This window comes from Homo sapiens, chromosome 10, assembly GCF_000001405.40.
Source record: "Homo sapiens chromosome 10, GRCh38.p14 Primary Assembly".
Taxonomy (NCBI): Eukaryota; Metazoa; Chordata; class Mammalia; order Primates; family Hominidae; genus Homo; species Homo sapiens.
In genome coordinates this window covers 112,039,818-112,056,640 of record NC_000010.11, presented here as the reverse complement: position 1 = coordinate 112,056,640, position 16,823 = coordinate 112,039,818, and the positions used below count along the sequence as shown (strand labels likewise).

The 16,823-nt window shown below is 42.5% G+C and overlaps 1 long non-coding RNA gene across 1 annotated transcript in view; it reads left to right on the top strand.

Annotated features, from left to right (window-relative positions):
- The window catches only part of LOC107984268 (uncharacterized), a 31,907-nt gene that overhangs the window by 3,609 nt on the left and 11,475 nt on the right, over positions 1-16,823 (top strand). The window contains exon 2 of the long non-coding RNA XR_001747587.2: positions 15,292-15,333. This is a non-coding gene — a long non-coding RNA (uncharacterized LOC107984268). The remainder of the gene's footprint in view (positions 1-15,291; positions 15,334-16,823) is intronic.

The window sequence follows — 16,823 nt, the reverse complement described above, 5'->3', positions numbered from 1 at the left end:
GCACAGCTGTGGAAACACAGGCTAGACTGCTGGGACCAGAGTTCCCAAATACAGTGGCTCATACAAGGTGGATGTTACAATTATCCCTTGAATAAAAGTCTAGATGAGGAGTCCAGGGCTGGTATGGAGGCTTGACAGCATGAGAGAACAGCCTCCTTTCATCTTGTTCTTCTGTCAACCCTGACTTCATCTGCATGTTCAAAGTCATGGGCCACCATGTTTGCATTTCAGCCACAGGTAGAGGAAAAGATGAGGAAAAGGAAGTCACACTGTCGGTCATGCCATCAGCTAGAATTTACGTGGTTATGAATGTTGCAAAGCATCCCTTGCAACATTTCTAGAGAAGAAGAAAGGAAATATATCTGGGTGTGTGTGTTGGGTGGGGGCATGAGACGGCATCTGGAAGTCTTTGCTCCAGCTTCCTAAGTCGAGGTTTCCCCATCTTTTAAATAAGGATAACACTGGTCTACTTCACAGGGTAGGGATGTCAGTATTAAATTGGAGTTTCCATTGAGAGTTTTTGGTGTAGCACCTGACGCTGAGCAAGTAAGAGGCACTGTTGCCCACAGGTATGGGCAACTCTGTCAGCCAGTGCAATGTCACTCATGGCTGCAGCATCCCATCACATCAGATGACACAGAGTGCCCTAGACAGTCAAACTCTGATGGCAGTAACCATGATGATTGGCAGTGATGCCACTCTGAGGCCATGCTGTGCAGAACGCTCTCTTGTTGACCTCAAGTTTCTGCAGGCAACATGGCAAAGTGGTTAGAGAATGGCTTCTAGAACCAGACTGCCTGTATTGGACACCTGGCCCTGCCCCTTAGAGCTGTGCCATTTGAACAAAGTTACTTCATCTGTCTATCCCTCAGTTTTCTCATTTTTAAGATGAAGGTCACAGCATCTGTCTGGTAGAATAATTCAATGACTTCTTTATCTGTGAAGTGCTTATAACAGCACAGAGCACTGTGGAAATTGCTTTGTAAGTCAGTATATATTAAATAAATACAGTTATTATAGGTATGCTCTTTAGTCCTAACATTAGAAACCTTATCATCTACTAGATCCATAAAAAAAAGAGGTTGATTCCTTACTTGCTTCCTAGAACGGAAGCTCCATTGTGGGAGAGAATTTGTCTTTCTCTCTGCTGAATCCCAGGGCCTGGAACAATACCTGGCCCTTTGTAGGCACCTGATGGAGGCTTGGAGGTTCGGTGTTCCTGTGTCAAAACGGACCTGACATCTTATTTTCTGTTTGTGTTATCTGCTGCTAAGGAGATAGTATCCCAACGAAAGGAAACAGTCATTATCTTAGGGAAAATCCGGGATATCAACCCTCAGGTACGGAGCCGTGGAAAGAACAAATACTGATGCTGGGGTTGCAAAGTTTGCTCTTAAGAACTGGTCCTGCCCCTAGCTATCTGCAAGACTTTAGGGGAAGGGGGCTATGAATGCCTTAGTTTCCTCATCTGTAAAATGTGAATGACATTGACCTTATAGGGCATTTTGAGAAATAAGTGTGTCAATTCATTACAAATATAGGGTGTGTCTCGTGTGCCTGGTGCAGTGAATACAACATGTCTATCTGTTGTGAAGGGGCCTTGCTAAATGTGGAGGGTATCCTCATGAGGGGAAATAGGATCAAAACATGAAGGAACTGGGCCCATATGAGGCTGCCCTTGAATGCAGAGGAAGGCCCTGAGTTGGGCATTTTACAAGGGAACAGCTAATAATCTGTAACTTGTGTCTGAAGAGAGGAAGGCTGCTTTTTGTGATGTGAAATCATTTTGATCTTTAGGTGCAGCACTTGCTTTCAATTGAAATATTTTTTTCTAACACAGGAAGATTCTGTGCACTATTCCGAGAAGCCTGCAGACCCTTTTTACAGTGATCGTAATGCGATTTGCTGCATGCATCAGAGGGCGAGGGAGCTGCGTGCTTCTTGTGCAGAAGGCAGATTTGATTTCAAACTCTAGAGGCAAATAAAGGAAACCTGGGAAACAAATATGAAAAATCTGAGCAAATGTGGAAATGAAAAAAGGGGGATGGGAAAGGGATAAAAGACAGAACACTGAGAGTAAACAAGAGGGCTTGCTTTTGGCAACCTCACATTCTACTTCTAATGAACTTGGACCAGACCTTCACTGAATATTGTTTTGGTGAGATTTGCCTCACCTTGGGGACACAAAGCCAGAAGCTTTCCTCGATAACACACAGAATAAAGAAACCTCATTCATTACAAATGGGAGAAGGAACAACGAGACTTTGATGTCTTTAAAATCAATTCAGCAAAGATTGTTTCAGGTGGAGGTTATGAGCAGTGAGGAATAAGGACATGGCAAAACTCTGTTTCTGCAAGGAAGGAGCCTTAGGCACAGAAGACTGCTTTGCAAGGCATGCTTGGCATCCCATGACCTGACCAAATGCTCCGGGGTCAGGGTCACCTCCAAGATAGGGGCCCTGTCCCTGTGGCTGTTACTCCCTACACAAGGCTATTTGGGCTCACCTTTTGTCCACAGTGATTCTCTGTTTACCAAGGGTCTACAAACCAATCTGTCCATTTAATCTATGCTTAGCAGGGGTGACTCTTTCATGCAGATGACCTCTGACCTTACCATCCAAATACTACAGCAATGGCCCTCTGGAACTCTTATGGTGGCAATTCTTATGATGTCATTCCCAGCTTGGTTGAGAGGTATTATGGTATCCAGGCAGGCTCACAGTGGGAAGTGGGGCATATTTTGGCAAAAGCATAGCTTTGTGCCATCTCTAAAACTGTATGCAGGCAGCTGATAACTTCATCCATCAGCAGAATAAGCACTATGTTAAAAACAAACTCACTGACAACCAAGATGAAAAATAAAGACACTGCACAAAAACCATGTTCTGAGATGAAAAATAAAGCTCCCTATATCTGGGCAACCAGGGATTGGGCACATTAGTGTCAGCTGAAAGAGTAGAATCTGTTCAGTTTTACTGAAGTGGATATGACTTCCCAGGATTATGTGAAGAATAGACATTCATTTGTTCATTTGTTCATTCATTCATTCATGCAAAAGGCAATTACTGAGTACCTTCTAGGTGCCAAGAACTATGCTAGGGCCTAGGAATTCAAAGATGTATCTTGGAAATTGTCCCTGGTACTAAAAACTCTAGCTAGAGGGGAGACAGACATGCAAATAAACATATGCCATAAAATAATTGGTATAGTGGTGTTTGTACAACAGAGAGAAGTCTTCTTAAGAAAATGGGACAGGAGTGGCCGGGCACGGTGGCTCACACCTGTAATCCCAGCACTTTGGGAGGCCAAGGTGGGCGGAACATGAGGTCAGGAGATTGAGACCATCCTGGCTAACACGGTGAAACCCCATCTCTACTAAAAATACAAAAAATTAGCCAGGTGTGGTGGTGGGCGCCTGTAGTCCCAGCTACTCAGGAGGCTGAGGCAGGAGAGTGGCGTGAACCCGGGAGGCGGAGCTTGCAGTGAGCTGAGATTGCACCGCTGCCCTCCAGCCTGGGTGACAGAGCGAGACTCCGTCTCGAAAAAAAAAAAAAAAGAAAATGGGACAGGAGTTTGAACAAAGCCTCCCGCAGAAAGTGTTTTCTGCTCTCTGTAATAAGTGTAATTGTGTTAAGAAATTGATACAACCATGTGCACAAGTGCACACACACACACATTTAATTCTACCTGCAAGTGCCAGAAGGCTGCAGATGACAGCAGTCTTGGCTCTAGAATTCTCCTAATGCTGGTCACAAAGACCTAGGCACTTAAACAATGGTTCTAGCAGCAATGAGAAAGAGTCACCTAGATGGGAAGGATTTATTCATTCTAAGAAAAACAACAAAGACACATTTCTTTCCTGTAGAAAGTTTGGAAGATGGAATAGACGAGATGAAAAGGATTCAAGGCAGTGGAAACAGATAAAATATTTAATAAGCTTATAACGAAAAGGAGTGGAAAGAGCCATTGTTAGGGAAGTAAATGAAGACTTTAAACGGCACTTTTATTGCTTATTCTCTTCCAGCCTCTGCATCTGATCTCAGCAGTGAACTCTGCGTGTTTTTTCTAGTATGGCCCATGAGGCTCAGTTTTCTGTTTGCAATCACCTGAGCCCTGGTCTCAACCTTTGTAACCGAATTATTTGTACCCAGAGGACAAATTGAGTCAGAGGAAGCTACTTCTGCAATTACATGGGAAGAGGATGTGACAGCCTGCTGCTACTTTGAGGAGACAGCCCCAGGGCAGATGCAGGTGGCAGTGTGGGAGACAGCGGGCTGCAAGAATGCAGAGCCCTGGCTCCCCTCCCTACCTCCCTTTCCCAGAGGGGAAGTACAAAATGGAGACATTGGAGACAAAACAGCCTCAGGGCATCTCTGTCCATCATGGTTGTCTATCGAACTTTCCGTCAGAGTGCATTTTGGAAGATGCCTTCCCTATAGGGCTGTTGTGAGCATTACTGACTTAACACGGAAAGCACTTTAGACAGGACCTGCCTGGCCAGTGAAAAGTGCAATGTAAATGTCGGCTATGGAGGAGGTTGAGAAATTTCACATAAAAATGAAGAAGACAAAACCTTAAGAACTTTCAAAGTGTATATATTTTAAATATAAAACTGGCTGGGCACAGTGGCTCACATCTATAATCCCAACATTTTGGAAGGCTGAGATGGGAGGATCACTTGAGCCAAGTTGTTCAAGACTAGCCTGGGTAACACAGTGAGAATACTGTCTCTACAAACTATTTAAAAATTAGCTGGGTGTGATGTCACATACCTGTAGACCTAGCTATTGCAAGAGGCTGAGGTGGGAAGATCACTTGACCCCCCCAGGAGGTTGAGGCTGCAGTAAGCCAAGATTATGCCACTGCGCTCCAGCCTGGGTGACAAATGTATCTATATATGTTTTTATATATTTATATAAACATATATATTTTATATGTGTATATATATGTTTATCTAAAACAGATATATATATATATATATCTGAGTCCTAAAAATGTATGTGTGCATGCACACGTGTACCTGCACACACTTGCATGCACATACACTGTAAATGTTTGCTAAAAAAGGAATTTAATGCTTCCTTTATGTGAGAGCTTTCTTAAAAATAAGTAGTTGTAATCACAAGAGAGGTGCATCCTCCCACCTGGAGGCAAAGAAGTTTTGATTTCCAGTTCTGTAAACACTGAGGTCATGGCTTAGACTGCTAAAGCTGTGATGACCCTCTAGTGTTGCTACCAACCCCCAGCTTTTATAGATGAGAAAACACACTCAGGAAACAAGACTTGTCCAAGACCACATGGCCAGAAAGAGGCAGAGGCAGATTATAGATCCTATGAGCTTAGGGGAATTGGGAAGGAGAATTGGGAAGAGGACTGTGAGTCCCCTTCAAGCCTTTCTGACCCAATAGGCATTGAATATTGATCCTTGAGGGCCAGGAGAAGGGCCAGCCAAGCACATGGTAGCTCTGAACATAGGAGATAAAGATGCCCTTGAGCTTGAGAAGCAGATATGGAAATGTCCCCAGCTTCCTCTTTTTTCATTGTCCTGCTTTTGTTCTGGGTGCCATCTCTGCTGACGAGGTAATGAGCATTCGGGCAGGTGCCATTGGTCAGAGTGATGTACCTCTAGTAGCTCTGGCTGTCCCGTGATTCAGTCAGGAACAGGCTGCTGGACTGACCTGGGTGGCTGTTGTTGCATGCGTGTGTGTGTGCGTGTGTGTGTGTGTGTGTGTGTCAGTCAATGTGAGAGAGACAGAGAGTCCCTGGGAAGTTTCAAATGGGCTTGGAAGAAAAAATTTGAAACCATGGGAATTGTTCTCATTACTCATTACTCCACTTCTTATTACCACTTTCTATTGGCCTGATCCAACCTCAGTGTAAAGTTGAAGAAAAAGAAAAAGAAAAAAAGAACAAAGTTAAAAGAAAAAAAACAAAAAAACTCTACTCTTAAAATAAACTTTTGGCTGGGCGTGGTGGCTCACACCTGTAATCCCAGCACTTTGGGAGGCCGAGGCGGGCGGATCACAAGGTCAGGAGTTCGAGACCATCCTGGCTAACACAGTGAAACCCCATCTCTACTAAAAATACAAAAAAAATTAGCCAGGCATAGGTGGTGCATGCCTGTAGTCCCAGCTACTCAGGAGGCTGAGGAAGGAGAATGGCGTAAAACCCGGGAGGCAGAGGTTGCAGTGAGCCGAGATCGCGCCACTGCACTCCAGCCTGGGAGACAGATCAAGACTCCGTCTCAAAAAAGAAAAATAAAAAAATAAACTTTTGTACAGTGTCCTGAAAGTCTTAATGCCTGCTTAAAACTGCACTGACTTTTGAGACACTCGGTAAGTGAAAAGATGAAAAGCCTGCAATCCGTAGAATTGAGGTGGTGAGTGGGTGAGCTGGGTAAGTCAGACAGGATTGCAAATCTGCTCCCCAGGGAGGGCCAGCCACACATCTCAGGGGTGAGACCGCAGAGAGGAGCATTTGTGGGCAATGGCCTTTGTAAGATGGAAAGCGTTTGGCAGGTGACTATGCAGTCAAGTTATTAGACTCAGAGGTGCTTAACTCACCTGGACATTTTTGTGGGATTTTGTAGGAAATAGAAGGGAGATGCTAGGTACTGGCAAAGGAACAGGGATAGAGGAACCATAAGGAAGTGAGGCTGGAAATTCACAGACAGTGGGTGGTGGTGCTATTTGGACTCATGCTTAGAAGTGGGGTTCAAGCCAAGTTCAATGGAATCGTTGAGGGGTAAGGAGCTGCGATTAATATCTGGGTTACATAAATATTTCAAGTACTAACTATCTAGAAATCCAAGTCCTGAAGACTTATGAGGTCATCTTCTCCTTTAATATTTAACAAGAAATAAAAAACTGCTTGTGCTCCCTGTCTCACATATGGCAGAAGTCCCATTCCAATCTTAATCTTCTCATGAACTTGTGGAAGCTGACTTTCTCTTTCCTGCCTCTTTCTCCAGTTTACTGCTGTCACTGAGTAATTCTTGATCTTTGCCTATGTTCACCTTCTCTGGCTGTTGTTTCCATTTTCCCATGTTCACCCAAATGTGCCACTAACCCTTTAAAAAATTTCCCCTACAGCATCCCCAAGTCAAGACAGCTGATGGAGTAGACTTTTACTGAGGAGGAGTTTCAACACATTCCTGATATACATCTTGAATCATTTGTGAGACGATCCTGGCCTATAAATCTCCCCTGGCCTTTTGCCACTGTCAGGAACATCTCACTTGCTGTCTTCTGTTCCCAGGCGCTGGCCTCCTTGCATTTTACTAGAGTTGTCTTCCTTTTTTTTGTGGACCAATTTATGTCTGTCAATTTCTACCTGTTCCCGGACACTCCGCCCCTATCTCCTTCATCTTGGCATATTTAATACATTTATTTTATTCCACTGATCTGCTTACTTTTTGGCTTTCTTTTATCTCCTCCATCTTCGATATCTTGTCTAGAACCCATCTTTTCACAACCCGAATTGCTATCCAAGAGGTTTTTCTAAATAACAGACTGTGTTTTCTCTAAGAGGAATTTTGCTCTCAGGTTTTAAGATAACATGTATCCACCCCAGCTTCATTAAAACATTCTGATTTCTTAATTTAAGGAAGAGGAGGGGAAGGAATAAATATTTCTTGAGGGTTTATTAAAATCAGACCCTGGGCTAGTGCTTTTTATGCATCCTTTAATTTCATCCTCAGAAAAGTCCTGGGAAGTGGGGTCATCACCCTGGTTTACCGAGGACAGTGAGTCAGGAACACAGGGCTGCTCCAGTCACATAAGCTGCTGGGTGGCAGAAGAAGTTGCCATCAAAACAAAGTCTTTGGACTCTGGAGCCTGAGCTGTTTCCATGATTCATCTTGCCTTGGAGGAGGAGATGATGACAGAGATGAACCTGTGTGTACTGGACCCTCCTTCTTTGATGGCCTGCTCTTTGCCCTCCAGCTACACTTTCCCACTCACTACTGATGCTTGCCTGAGGATCTCCCTTTTCCCATCCCTTCCTGCTTTTCTCCAAGGGTAGTGGGTCCTGGGTTCTGTCAATTCCAGCTGCAGCCTGGCTCCTGATTCTGTTCTCTCCTGCTCTAGCTGAAGCCGTAAGTGGTGCTTGGAGCCCTCTTGGAGTAGAATCTGCTGACTTTCTCACCCTCAGTGTCTCTTCCCCATTCCATCTCATCCTACACTTATGATAGGCTAGCTCCAGCACCCTGTGATGGGCACATGGTAAAGAATTTTGGCTTTGAGTTTGATATGCGGTCAAACAGCAGCTTGGCCTCTAATCAGTTGTGTAACCTCAGATAAGTTGCTTGAACAATTTGCTTCAGTTTTTTCTTCTTTAAAGTGGGGACAATGAGAGTATCCAACTCAGAGGGATTCTGGAAGGCCTCAATGGCATGATGTAGGTAAAGGGATCGATACAGGGTCTGATAAATAGTGAAGTTTCATAAATGGTAGCAATTGGTGTGGCTACGGACACAGTGATCTTGCTACCACTCTCCTCCTCCAGTCCAGACTCCTTGGCCTGACACTCAGGGTCCTCTGCTATCTATAAATTAGCCTGAGCCCACCTTTCTTATCTGTTGTGCTGTAATAATGCTGGACTACACACCACTTCCTGGCTGCAGCCCCTGGTTTTAACCTAGAATAGCCACCGCTACCAGGAGGAAGTCTAACCATGTTTCCAGGGCCAGCTCAATCATTTCCTGGAGATACTCCTTTCTGACTCCTCTCCTGTCCGCTCCCCTTGGGAAGTGAGCTGTCTCTAGCCTCTGTTCCTTTAGCTCTTTGAGCATGTTAATGATGCATATCTCTTGCTACCCCTAGGCATGTTTATTAACTCTGCTTCAAAATAAAGAAAGTTCCTTGAAGATGGGAGCTTACTTCATGTCCTCTGTGTCATGGGCAGTGCTGAGAATGAATTCAAAAAATGATCTTGGAGACAAGAAACTGAACAGCTCCCACTGTGTGTAGCCTAATTTGGGGCTTCACTTAATCCTCCCTAATAAAATCCCCATTTCCTGCCTCTTCCCCATTCAGTCTTTGTCCACAGGCTACCCAGCCCCTGAAATAGACATATGATCTTCCACTCCAAGGCACGGGCACATATTGAAAAGTTTCCTATCATCTCCTTGGAAGGTTGCCTGTTTCTTAGTGGTCTCTAAGAACAGAGGATACAGACCCAAGGGAACACACAAAAGCAGTCCATTGGAATGTAGGAAGAAAATATTAGCACTTCTATTTACTTATCTTGCATATTTTCATTTCTTAGTGTCTGTCTTTTGATATATGCCTTATTAAGTACATAGTACACTAGAACAGTGACTTGCATATATAATTTATAAATAAATATGTATTTATTGCACACCCAAAAATATTTTTATTTACAGGATGCCTGATACAATAAGTTTAGAGTCCAAAGATGTTCCCTATACACTGCTACTAGTTGAGAAGAACAGCTGTGCATATATTGTTTCTTAATGCAGACTATTAATTGGTGCTCTGATGTGCAGCAGATCCAGGTCCTGCTCCTTAACCTGGTCTTCTAGGCCTTCTGTGATATTGCTTACTCTACTTTTCTAATTTTATTTTATGTATATTTATTTTTTAATTTTTTGAGACAGAGTCTTGCTCTGCACTCAGGCTGGAGTGCAGTGACGTGATTATGGCTCCCTGCAGCCTCCATCTCCCAGGTTCAATTGATCCTCCTACCTCAGCCTCCTGAGTAGCTGGGACTACAGGTGCACACCATCATGCCCAGCTAATTTTTTATTATTTTTTATAGAGACGGGGTCTTGCTATGTTGCCCAAGCTGGTCTCAAACTCTTAGGCTCAAGCAACTCTCCCTCCTCAGCCTCCCAAATTGCTGGGATTACAGGCATGAGCCACTGCATCCAGCCTTACTTTTCTAATTTTAAATCCTACTTCAAGCTTCACCTGTATGTACTCAATGCTTTCTCGACCACTTGCCTTTACATGTGCTTCTTCCTCTTAGATGTTCATCTCTACCGATCCTGGGGTAGTCACTTCATCTGCATCTCCTCTCTGTCATGTGTTATAATTCTTTACTTTCTATTTTAACTGTTTATATAAATGTCTTATTCCCTGTTCCAGACTATAAGCTCATATTTCTGATTCCATCTTTTTATCCTTATCTCTTATCCTAGTTTCTGCACAGAATAGATGCTTAATATAACTTTGCTGATTAAATGGAATATATGATGTATAACCCATATTTTCAGTCATTCTCTCAGATACAACTGTGACTGTTAATCTAAGCCATCTTGTTCTTCTCCATGAAGTCTCCAATTTCATCTTCTTTTACAAAAGCAGCTCTGCTGTTAAATAAAGCCAACTAGTAAATGAAGGGGTGTGAGAGGAATGTCCACATCCACTGTACAAGCAAATTGTTCTGCAATGTGCTCTCCACAAGAACTAAACTTTGCAGGATCATGTTCTTGTGGGGAATGAAAGCAGCGGGAGACCCTGGACTCGGAACTTTTGCATAACATCTGTTAGCCATCAGGGACTCGTTCTTCTACTGCTTTTTCCAAGGGAATGAGTAATGTGCTTCCTTTCTCCTGTCCTCTCCAGTCTCCAGCTGTCCACCTGGTTCTCTTCTATCTGGCCTACAGACACATCAGAAGTGTCCCATTATTTTAAAGGAATGCCACTGTCAGGAAAGCCTGTGTTTGCTCATAATTAGGATTTGTGCCCAGTATCATTTAGCATTCTCAGCCCAATGGGCCATTCACCACTCTGAGAAGATAAAGCCATTTCATTTCATTAAATATTTCCTGAACTCTAAGTACAATATTATAGAGCCACGTATCTTACACTTGCCACTCCAATTCCACTCCCCAACCCTTTTCTACGCACTCTGTCTCTCCTGTGGCTGACCTGGGCTACATCAGTGGGCTCCCTTGTTCTCTGCCTTTGAGGTGGATTCTGCTAATAGGGAGCACCGGCAGAAGACTGGATGAATGGAGAAGATGAGTTCAGGCTGGCTGCCTCTCTCATCCAAAGCTCACAGCTCCTGTTGGATGGCCCTTTCCATGACACTAATGAAATTCTTTCTGTGTCTGGGTTCTGGTAACCATCCATCTGCACCCCTTCTCAGGCCCAGCAGTGGTAATGGGGCATGACTGTTGCTGCATTATCCTTTCTGCTCTTTGTAAATAGTCCCTTTACTATGCTCTTCTCAAAGTAGGCATATTCCTCTTTGAGTATGCCATGTCTTCCAGGAAAAAGAGGGAGAGAGAGATCCTAATTAATATGGGAAGTGTGAATGTTATTCTCTAGAAGAAAGGGACATATTGGAGTTGCATTTTAGAAAACAAATTCTCTTTGAGTAGAGCAGTGCTACTCAAAGTGGGCTGGCAGCATCAGCATTTCTGAAGCAGACCCTCTGGGGATGAGCCAAGGGTCCAGCGATCTGTGCTTTAATAAGCTCTCCAAGTGACTCTTACACACTGAATCTAGAGGAGATGAAGCTGGAGGCGGAAAGACCAGTTGGGAGGCTGCTATGGTTGAAAGGAAAAAAGAAAGAGGAAAAAAGAAGAGGAGACGGCAGTGAGTCTGGGATAGATATTTAAGGTTTGGGATTGATGAGACTTGGAATTGAATAGATGTGGAGAAGCTTAGAGGAGAAGCTGATCTCAGGTATTAGGCTTAGATGGTTTTATTAACCAAGATCAGAAAGAAAGGAGCATAGATTTGACAGGAAAGTCATTATGACAGTAAGGAGCACAGTGAGTTTGAAGTGCTTGTGGGGACAACATGGGGAAGAAGTCCGGAAGGCTTTTTAATACAGGGATGTTGAAATCAGGAGAAGAGTCTTTTGTTTTGTTGTGTTTTGACTGTTACCATTATTTTATTTTATTTTATTTATTTTATTTTATTTTACTATTATACTTTAAGTTATAGGGTACATGTGCACAACTTGCAGGTTTGTTACATATGTATACATGTGGCATGTTGGTGTGCTGCACCCATTAACTCGTCTTTTACATTAGGTATATCTCCTAAAGCTGTCCCTCCCCCCTCCCCCCACCCCATGACAGACCCCAGTGTGTGATGTTCCCCTTCCTGTGTCCAAGTGTTCTCATTGTTCAATTCCCACCTATGAGTGAGAAAATGTGGTACTTGGTTTTCTGTCCTTGCAATAGTTTGCTGAGAATGATGGTTTCCAACTTCATCCATGTCCCTACAAAGGACACAAACTCATCCTTTTTTATGGCTGTGTAGTATTCCATGGTGTATATGTGCCACATTTTCTTAATCTAGTCTATCATTGATGGACATTTGGGTTGGTTCCAAGTCTTTGCTATTGTGAATAGTGTGGCAATAAACATACGTGTGCATGTGTCTTCATAGCAGCATGATTTATAATCCTTTGGGTATATACCCAGTAATGGGATGGCTGGGTCAAATGGTATTTCTAGTTCTAGATCCTTGAGGAATCACCACACTGTCTTCCACAATGATTGGACTAGTTTACAGTCCCCCCAACAGTTTAAAAGTGTTCCTGTTTCTCCACATCCTCTCCAGCACCTGTTGTTTCCTGACTTTTTAACGACCACCATTCTAACTGGTGTGAGATGTTATCTCACTGTGGTTTTGACTTGCATTTCTCTGATGGCCAGTGATGATGAGCATTTTTTCATGTGTCTGTTGGCTGCATAAATGTCTTCTTTTGAGAATTGTCTGTTCATATCCTTCGCCCACTTTTTGATGGGGTTGTTTGATTTTTTTCGTGTAAATTTGTTTAAGTTCTTTGTAGATTCTGGATATTAGCCCTTTGTCAGATGGGTAGATTGCAAAAATTTTCTCCCATTCTGTAGGTTGCCTGTTCACTCTGACGGTAGTTTCTTTTGATGTGCAGAAGCTCTTTAGTTTAATTAGATCCCACTTGTCAATTTTGGCTTTTGTTGCCATTGCTTTTGGTGTTCTTAGACATGAAGTCCTTGCCCATGCCTATGTCCTGAATGGTATTGCCTAAGTTTTCTTCTAGGGTTTTTATGGTTTTAGGTCTAACATTTAAGTCTTTAATCCATCTTGAATTAATTTTTGTATAAGGTGTAAGGAAGGGTTCCAGTTTCAGCTTTCTACGTATGGCTAGCCAGTTTTCCCAGCACCATTTATTAAATAGGGAATCCTTTCCCCATTGCTTGTTTTCCTCAGGTTTGTCAAAGATCAGATGGTTGTAGATGTGTGGTATTATTTCTGAGGGCTCTGTTCTGTTCCATTGGTCTATACCTCTGTTTTGGTACCAGTACCATGCTGTTTTGGTTACTGTAGGCTTGTAGTATAGTCTGAAGTCAGGTAGTGTGAGGCCTCCAGCTTTGTTCTTTTGGCTTAGGATTGTCTTGGCAATGTGGGCTCTTTTTTTGGTTCCATATGAACTTTAAAGTAGTTTTTTCCAATTCTGTGAAGAAAGTCATTGGTAGCTTGATGGGGATGGCATTGAATTTATAAATTACCTTGGGCAGTATGGCCATTTTCACGATATTGATTCTTCCTATCCATGATTATGGAATGTTCTTCCATTTGTTTGTGTCCTCTTTTATTTCCTTGAGCAGTGGTTTGTAGTTCTCATTGAAGAGGGCCTTCACATCCCTTGTAAGTTGGATTCCTAGGTATTTTATTCTCTTTGAAGCAATTGTGAATGGGAGTTCACTCATGATTTGGCTGTCTGTTTGTCTGTTATTGGTGTTTAGGAATGCTTGTGATTTTTGCACATTGATTTTGTATCCTGAAACTTTGCTGGAGTTGCTTATCAGCTTAAGGAGATTTTGGGCTGAGACAATGGGGTTTTCTAAATATACAATCATGTCATCTGCAAACAGGGACAATTTGACTTCCTCTTTTCCTAATTGAATACCCTTTATTTCTTTCTCCTGCCTGATTGCCCTGGCCAGAACTTCCAACACTATGTTGGATAGGAGTGGTGAGAGAGGGCATCCCTGTCTTGTGCCAGTTTTCACAGGGAATGCTTCCAGTTTTTGCCCATTCAGTATGATATTGGCTGTGGGCTTGTCATAAATAGTTCTTATTATTTTGACATACGTCCCATCAATGCCTAATTTATTGAGAGTTTTTAGCATGAAGGGCTGTTGAATTTTGTCGAAGGCCTTTTCTACATCTATTGAGATAATCATGTGGTTTTTGTCTTTGGTTCTGTTTATATGATGGATTACATTTATTGATTTGCATATGTTGAAGCAGACTTGCATCCCAGGGATGAAGCCCACTTGATCATGGTGGATAAGCTTTTTGATGTGCTGCTGGATTTGATTTGCCAGTATTTTATTGAGGATTTTTGCATCGATGTTCATCAGGGATATTGGTCTAAAATTATTTTTTTGTTGTGTCTCTGCCAGGCTTTGGTATCAAGATGATGCTGGCCTCATAAAATGAGTTAGGGAGGATTCCCTCTTTTTCTATTGGTTGGAATAGTTTCAGAAGGAATGGTACCAGCTCCTCCTTGTACCTCTGGTAGAATTTGGCTGTGAATCTGTCTGGTCCTGGCCTTTTTTTGGTTGGTAGGCTATTAACTATTGCCTCGATTTCAGAGCCTGTTATTGGTCTATTCAGGGATTCAACTTCTTCCTGGTTTAGTCTTGGGAGGGTGTATATGTCCGGGAATTTATCCATTTCTTCTAGATTTTCTAGTTTATTTGCGTAGAGATGTTTATAGTATTCTCTGATGGTAGTTTGTATTTCTGTGGGATCGGTGGTGATAACCCCTTTATCATTTTTTTATTGCATCTATTTGATTCTTCTCTCTTTTTTTCTCTATTAGTCTTGCTAGCGGTCTATCAATTTTGTTGATCTTTTCAAAAAACCAGCTCCTGGATTCATTGATTTTTTGAAGGGTTTTTTGTGTCTCTATTTCCTTCAGTTCTGCTCTGATCTTAGTTATTTCTTGCCTTCTGCTAGCTTTTGAATGTGTTTTCTCTTGCTTCTCTAGTTCTTTTAATTGTGATGTTAGGTTGTCAATTTTAGATCTTTCCTGCTTTCTCTTGTGGGCCCTTAGTGCTATAAATTTCCCTCTACACACTACTTTAAATGTGTCCCAGAGATTCTGGTATGTTGTGTCTTTGTTCTCATTGGTTTCAAAGAACATCTTCATTTCTGCCTTCATTTCATTATGTACCCAGTAGTCATTCAGGAGCAGGTTGTTCAGTTTCCATGTAGTTGAGCGGTTTTGAGTGAGTTTCTTAATCCTGAATTCTAGTTTGATTGCACTGTGGTCTGACAGACAGTTTGTTATAATTTCTATTCTTTTACACAGGAGAAGAGTCTTGACAACATTCAACAAATACTCAGCGTGATGGTAAGTCAACTTTGTAAAACGTCAACTTGCATAGGCCACCTAAGTTTCTCAGAATTCCTTTTTTTGTGTGTTTCTGGTTAGGGTGAGTCATAAGAGAGAGTCTTGGGAGACTTGGTGGGTGGAAGGGCAGCAGCAGCCATTTTGAGGCTCACAGGCATTGTCACTGATCTGCTGACTTGCCCCATCTGCATGAAGAAGCAGTGGCCTTGTAACTGCTCCATTTTCCCTTGACAGGCTCCGCCTTTAGCTTCTCCGACTCCTAGCTCAGTTATGTATGTTTAGCTCCATGACAAAATACTCCAGCTTCTGCAGGGACCCACGCTATCAAAGTGAGAAGCAACAAGAAATGACAGAGGTTTTAGTTTATCCTTGTTGGCTGGGTTCCATCCTCTTGCTTGTGGGTTCCAGCCTGATCTTAATCTCTTTCACTTTACATCAGTCTTCCCCTACCAACTGCCTGCCCTGGGGACTCCAAGTTTCTGCATCAGATATAAAAAGAACAGCCTTACAGAGATGTACCTGTGCATTGCCTAGTGGTTCTGCTTGAGCCATAAGGCTTGGTTGCATTGACTAATGCATTCTCCAAAAGAAAGAGCAAAAGGGAGAATAACAGGTAGGGCATAGGTGGAATCTACTATTCGATAAGACAAACATCTTGGAGTGAGCATATGATGGGAGGCAGGGGTCTGTGATTCCTGGTAAATCTCAGTTTTTATGTGCCTCTCATGAAGGGAGCATTTTGCTTGGCTGAGTGCAGAATAGAAGTTCATGGATGATTTTGGTAATGTTCATAAATTTTGCCTTGGTCTCTAATTTGGGACCTAAGTCATGCATAAGATGTGAGTCCACTACAGATTATGGAGTCATTGGAGAACAGGTAAGTAACACTCCTCAGGGAGAACCTGAAAAATGAAAAGGAAAGAGAGCCTAGGGAGGTAACTTAAATGAATTCAAATTAATATGGTAACCAAAATATTTGGTCATATAGTCTTTACAAAAGATTTCTTTTTATATTTCTATTTATGTGAAAGGCATACACTACTATATTTAGGATTTGTTTAATAAAGAGTCATTATTGTAAAGTATAAAACAAGAATCAGGACTGGCCTAAAAGATTGAGGGCTCAATCATGAGTATGTTGCTAGAGAATAAAGCGTATTTTTGACTCTTGGTTTAGCATACTTTGCTGTGTTCTTGCTTCTGCTGCATATACACATGCTTTAGGGGAAAATGGCAATTTCAAACCCTGACAATATTTACTCATTTCCTGTTTGCCCTGGGGTGTCCGAGCTCACCATTACGGTGATTCAGCTGCTTAAAAGAGGAGGGAGATTTTGGTTCCACAGCTTTGCTTTCCACTCAAATTAAATGAAAATGGAGATTTTCCTCTAGCACTTTATGTGGAGATAGTGTTGTTGGGGGACTTGGAACCACTAGTGGAAAAGAGGGTGCCTTGTGTAGCCAGCCTCCCTGACCATCCACTTAGATAA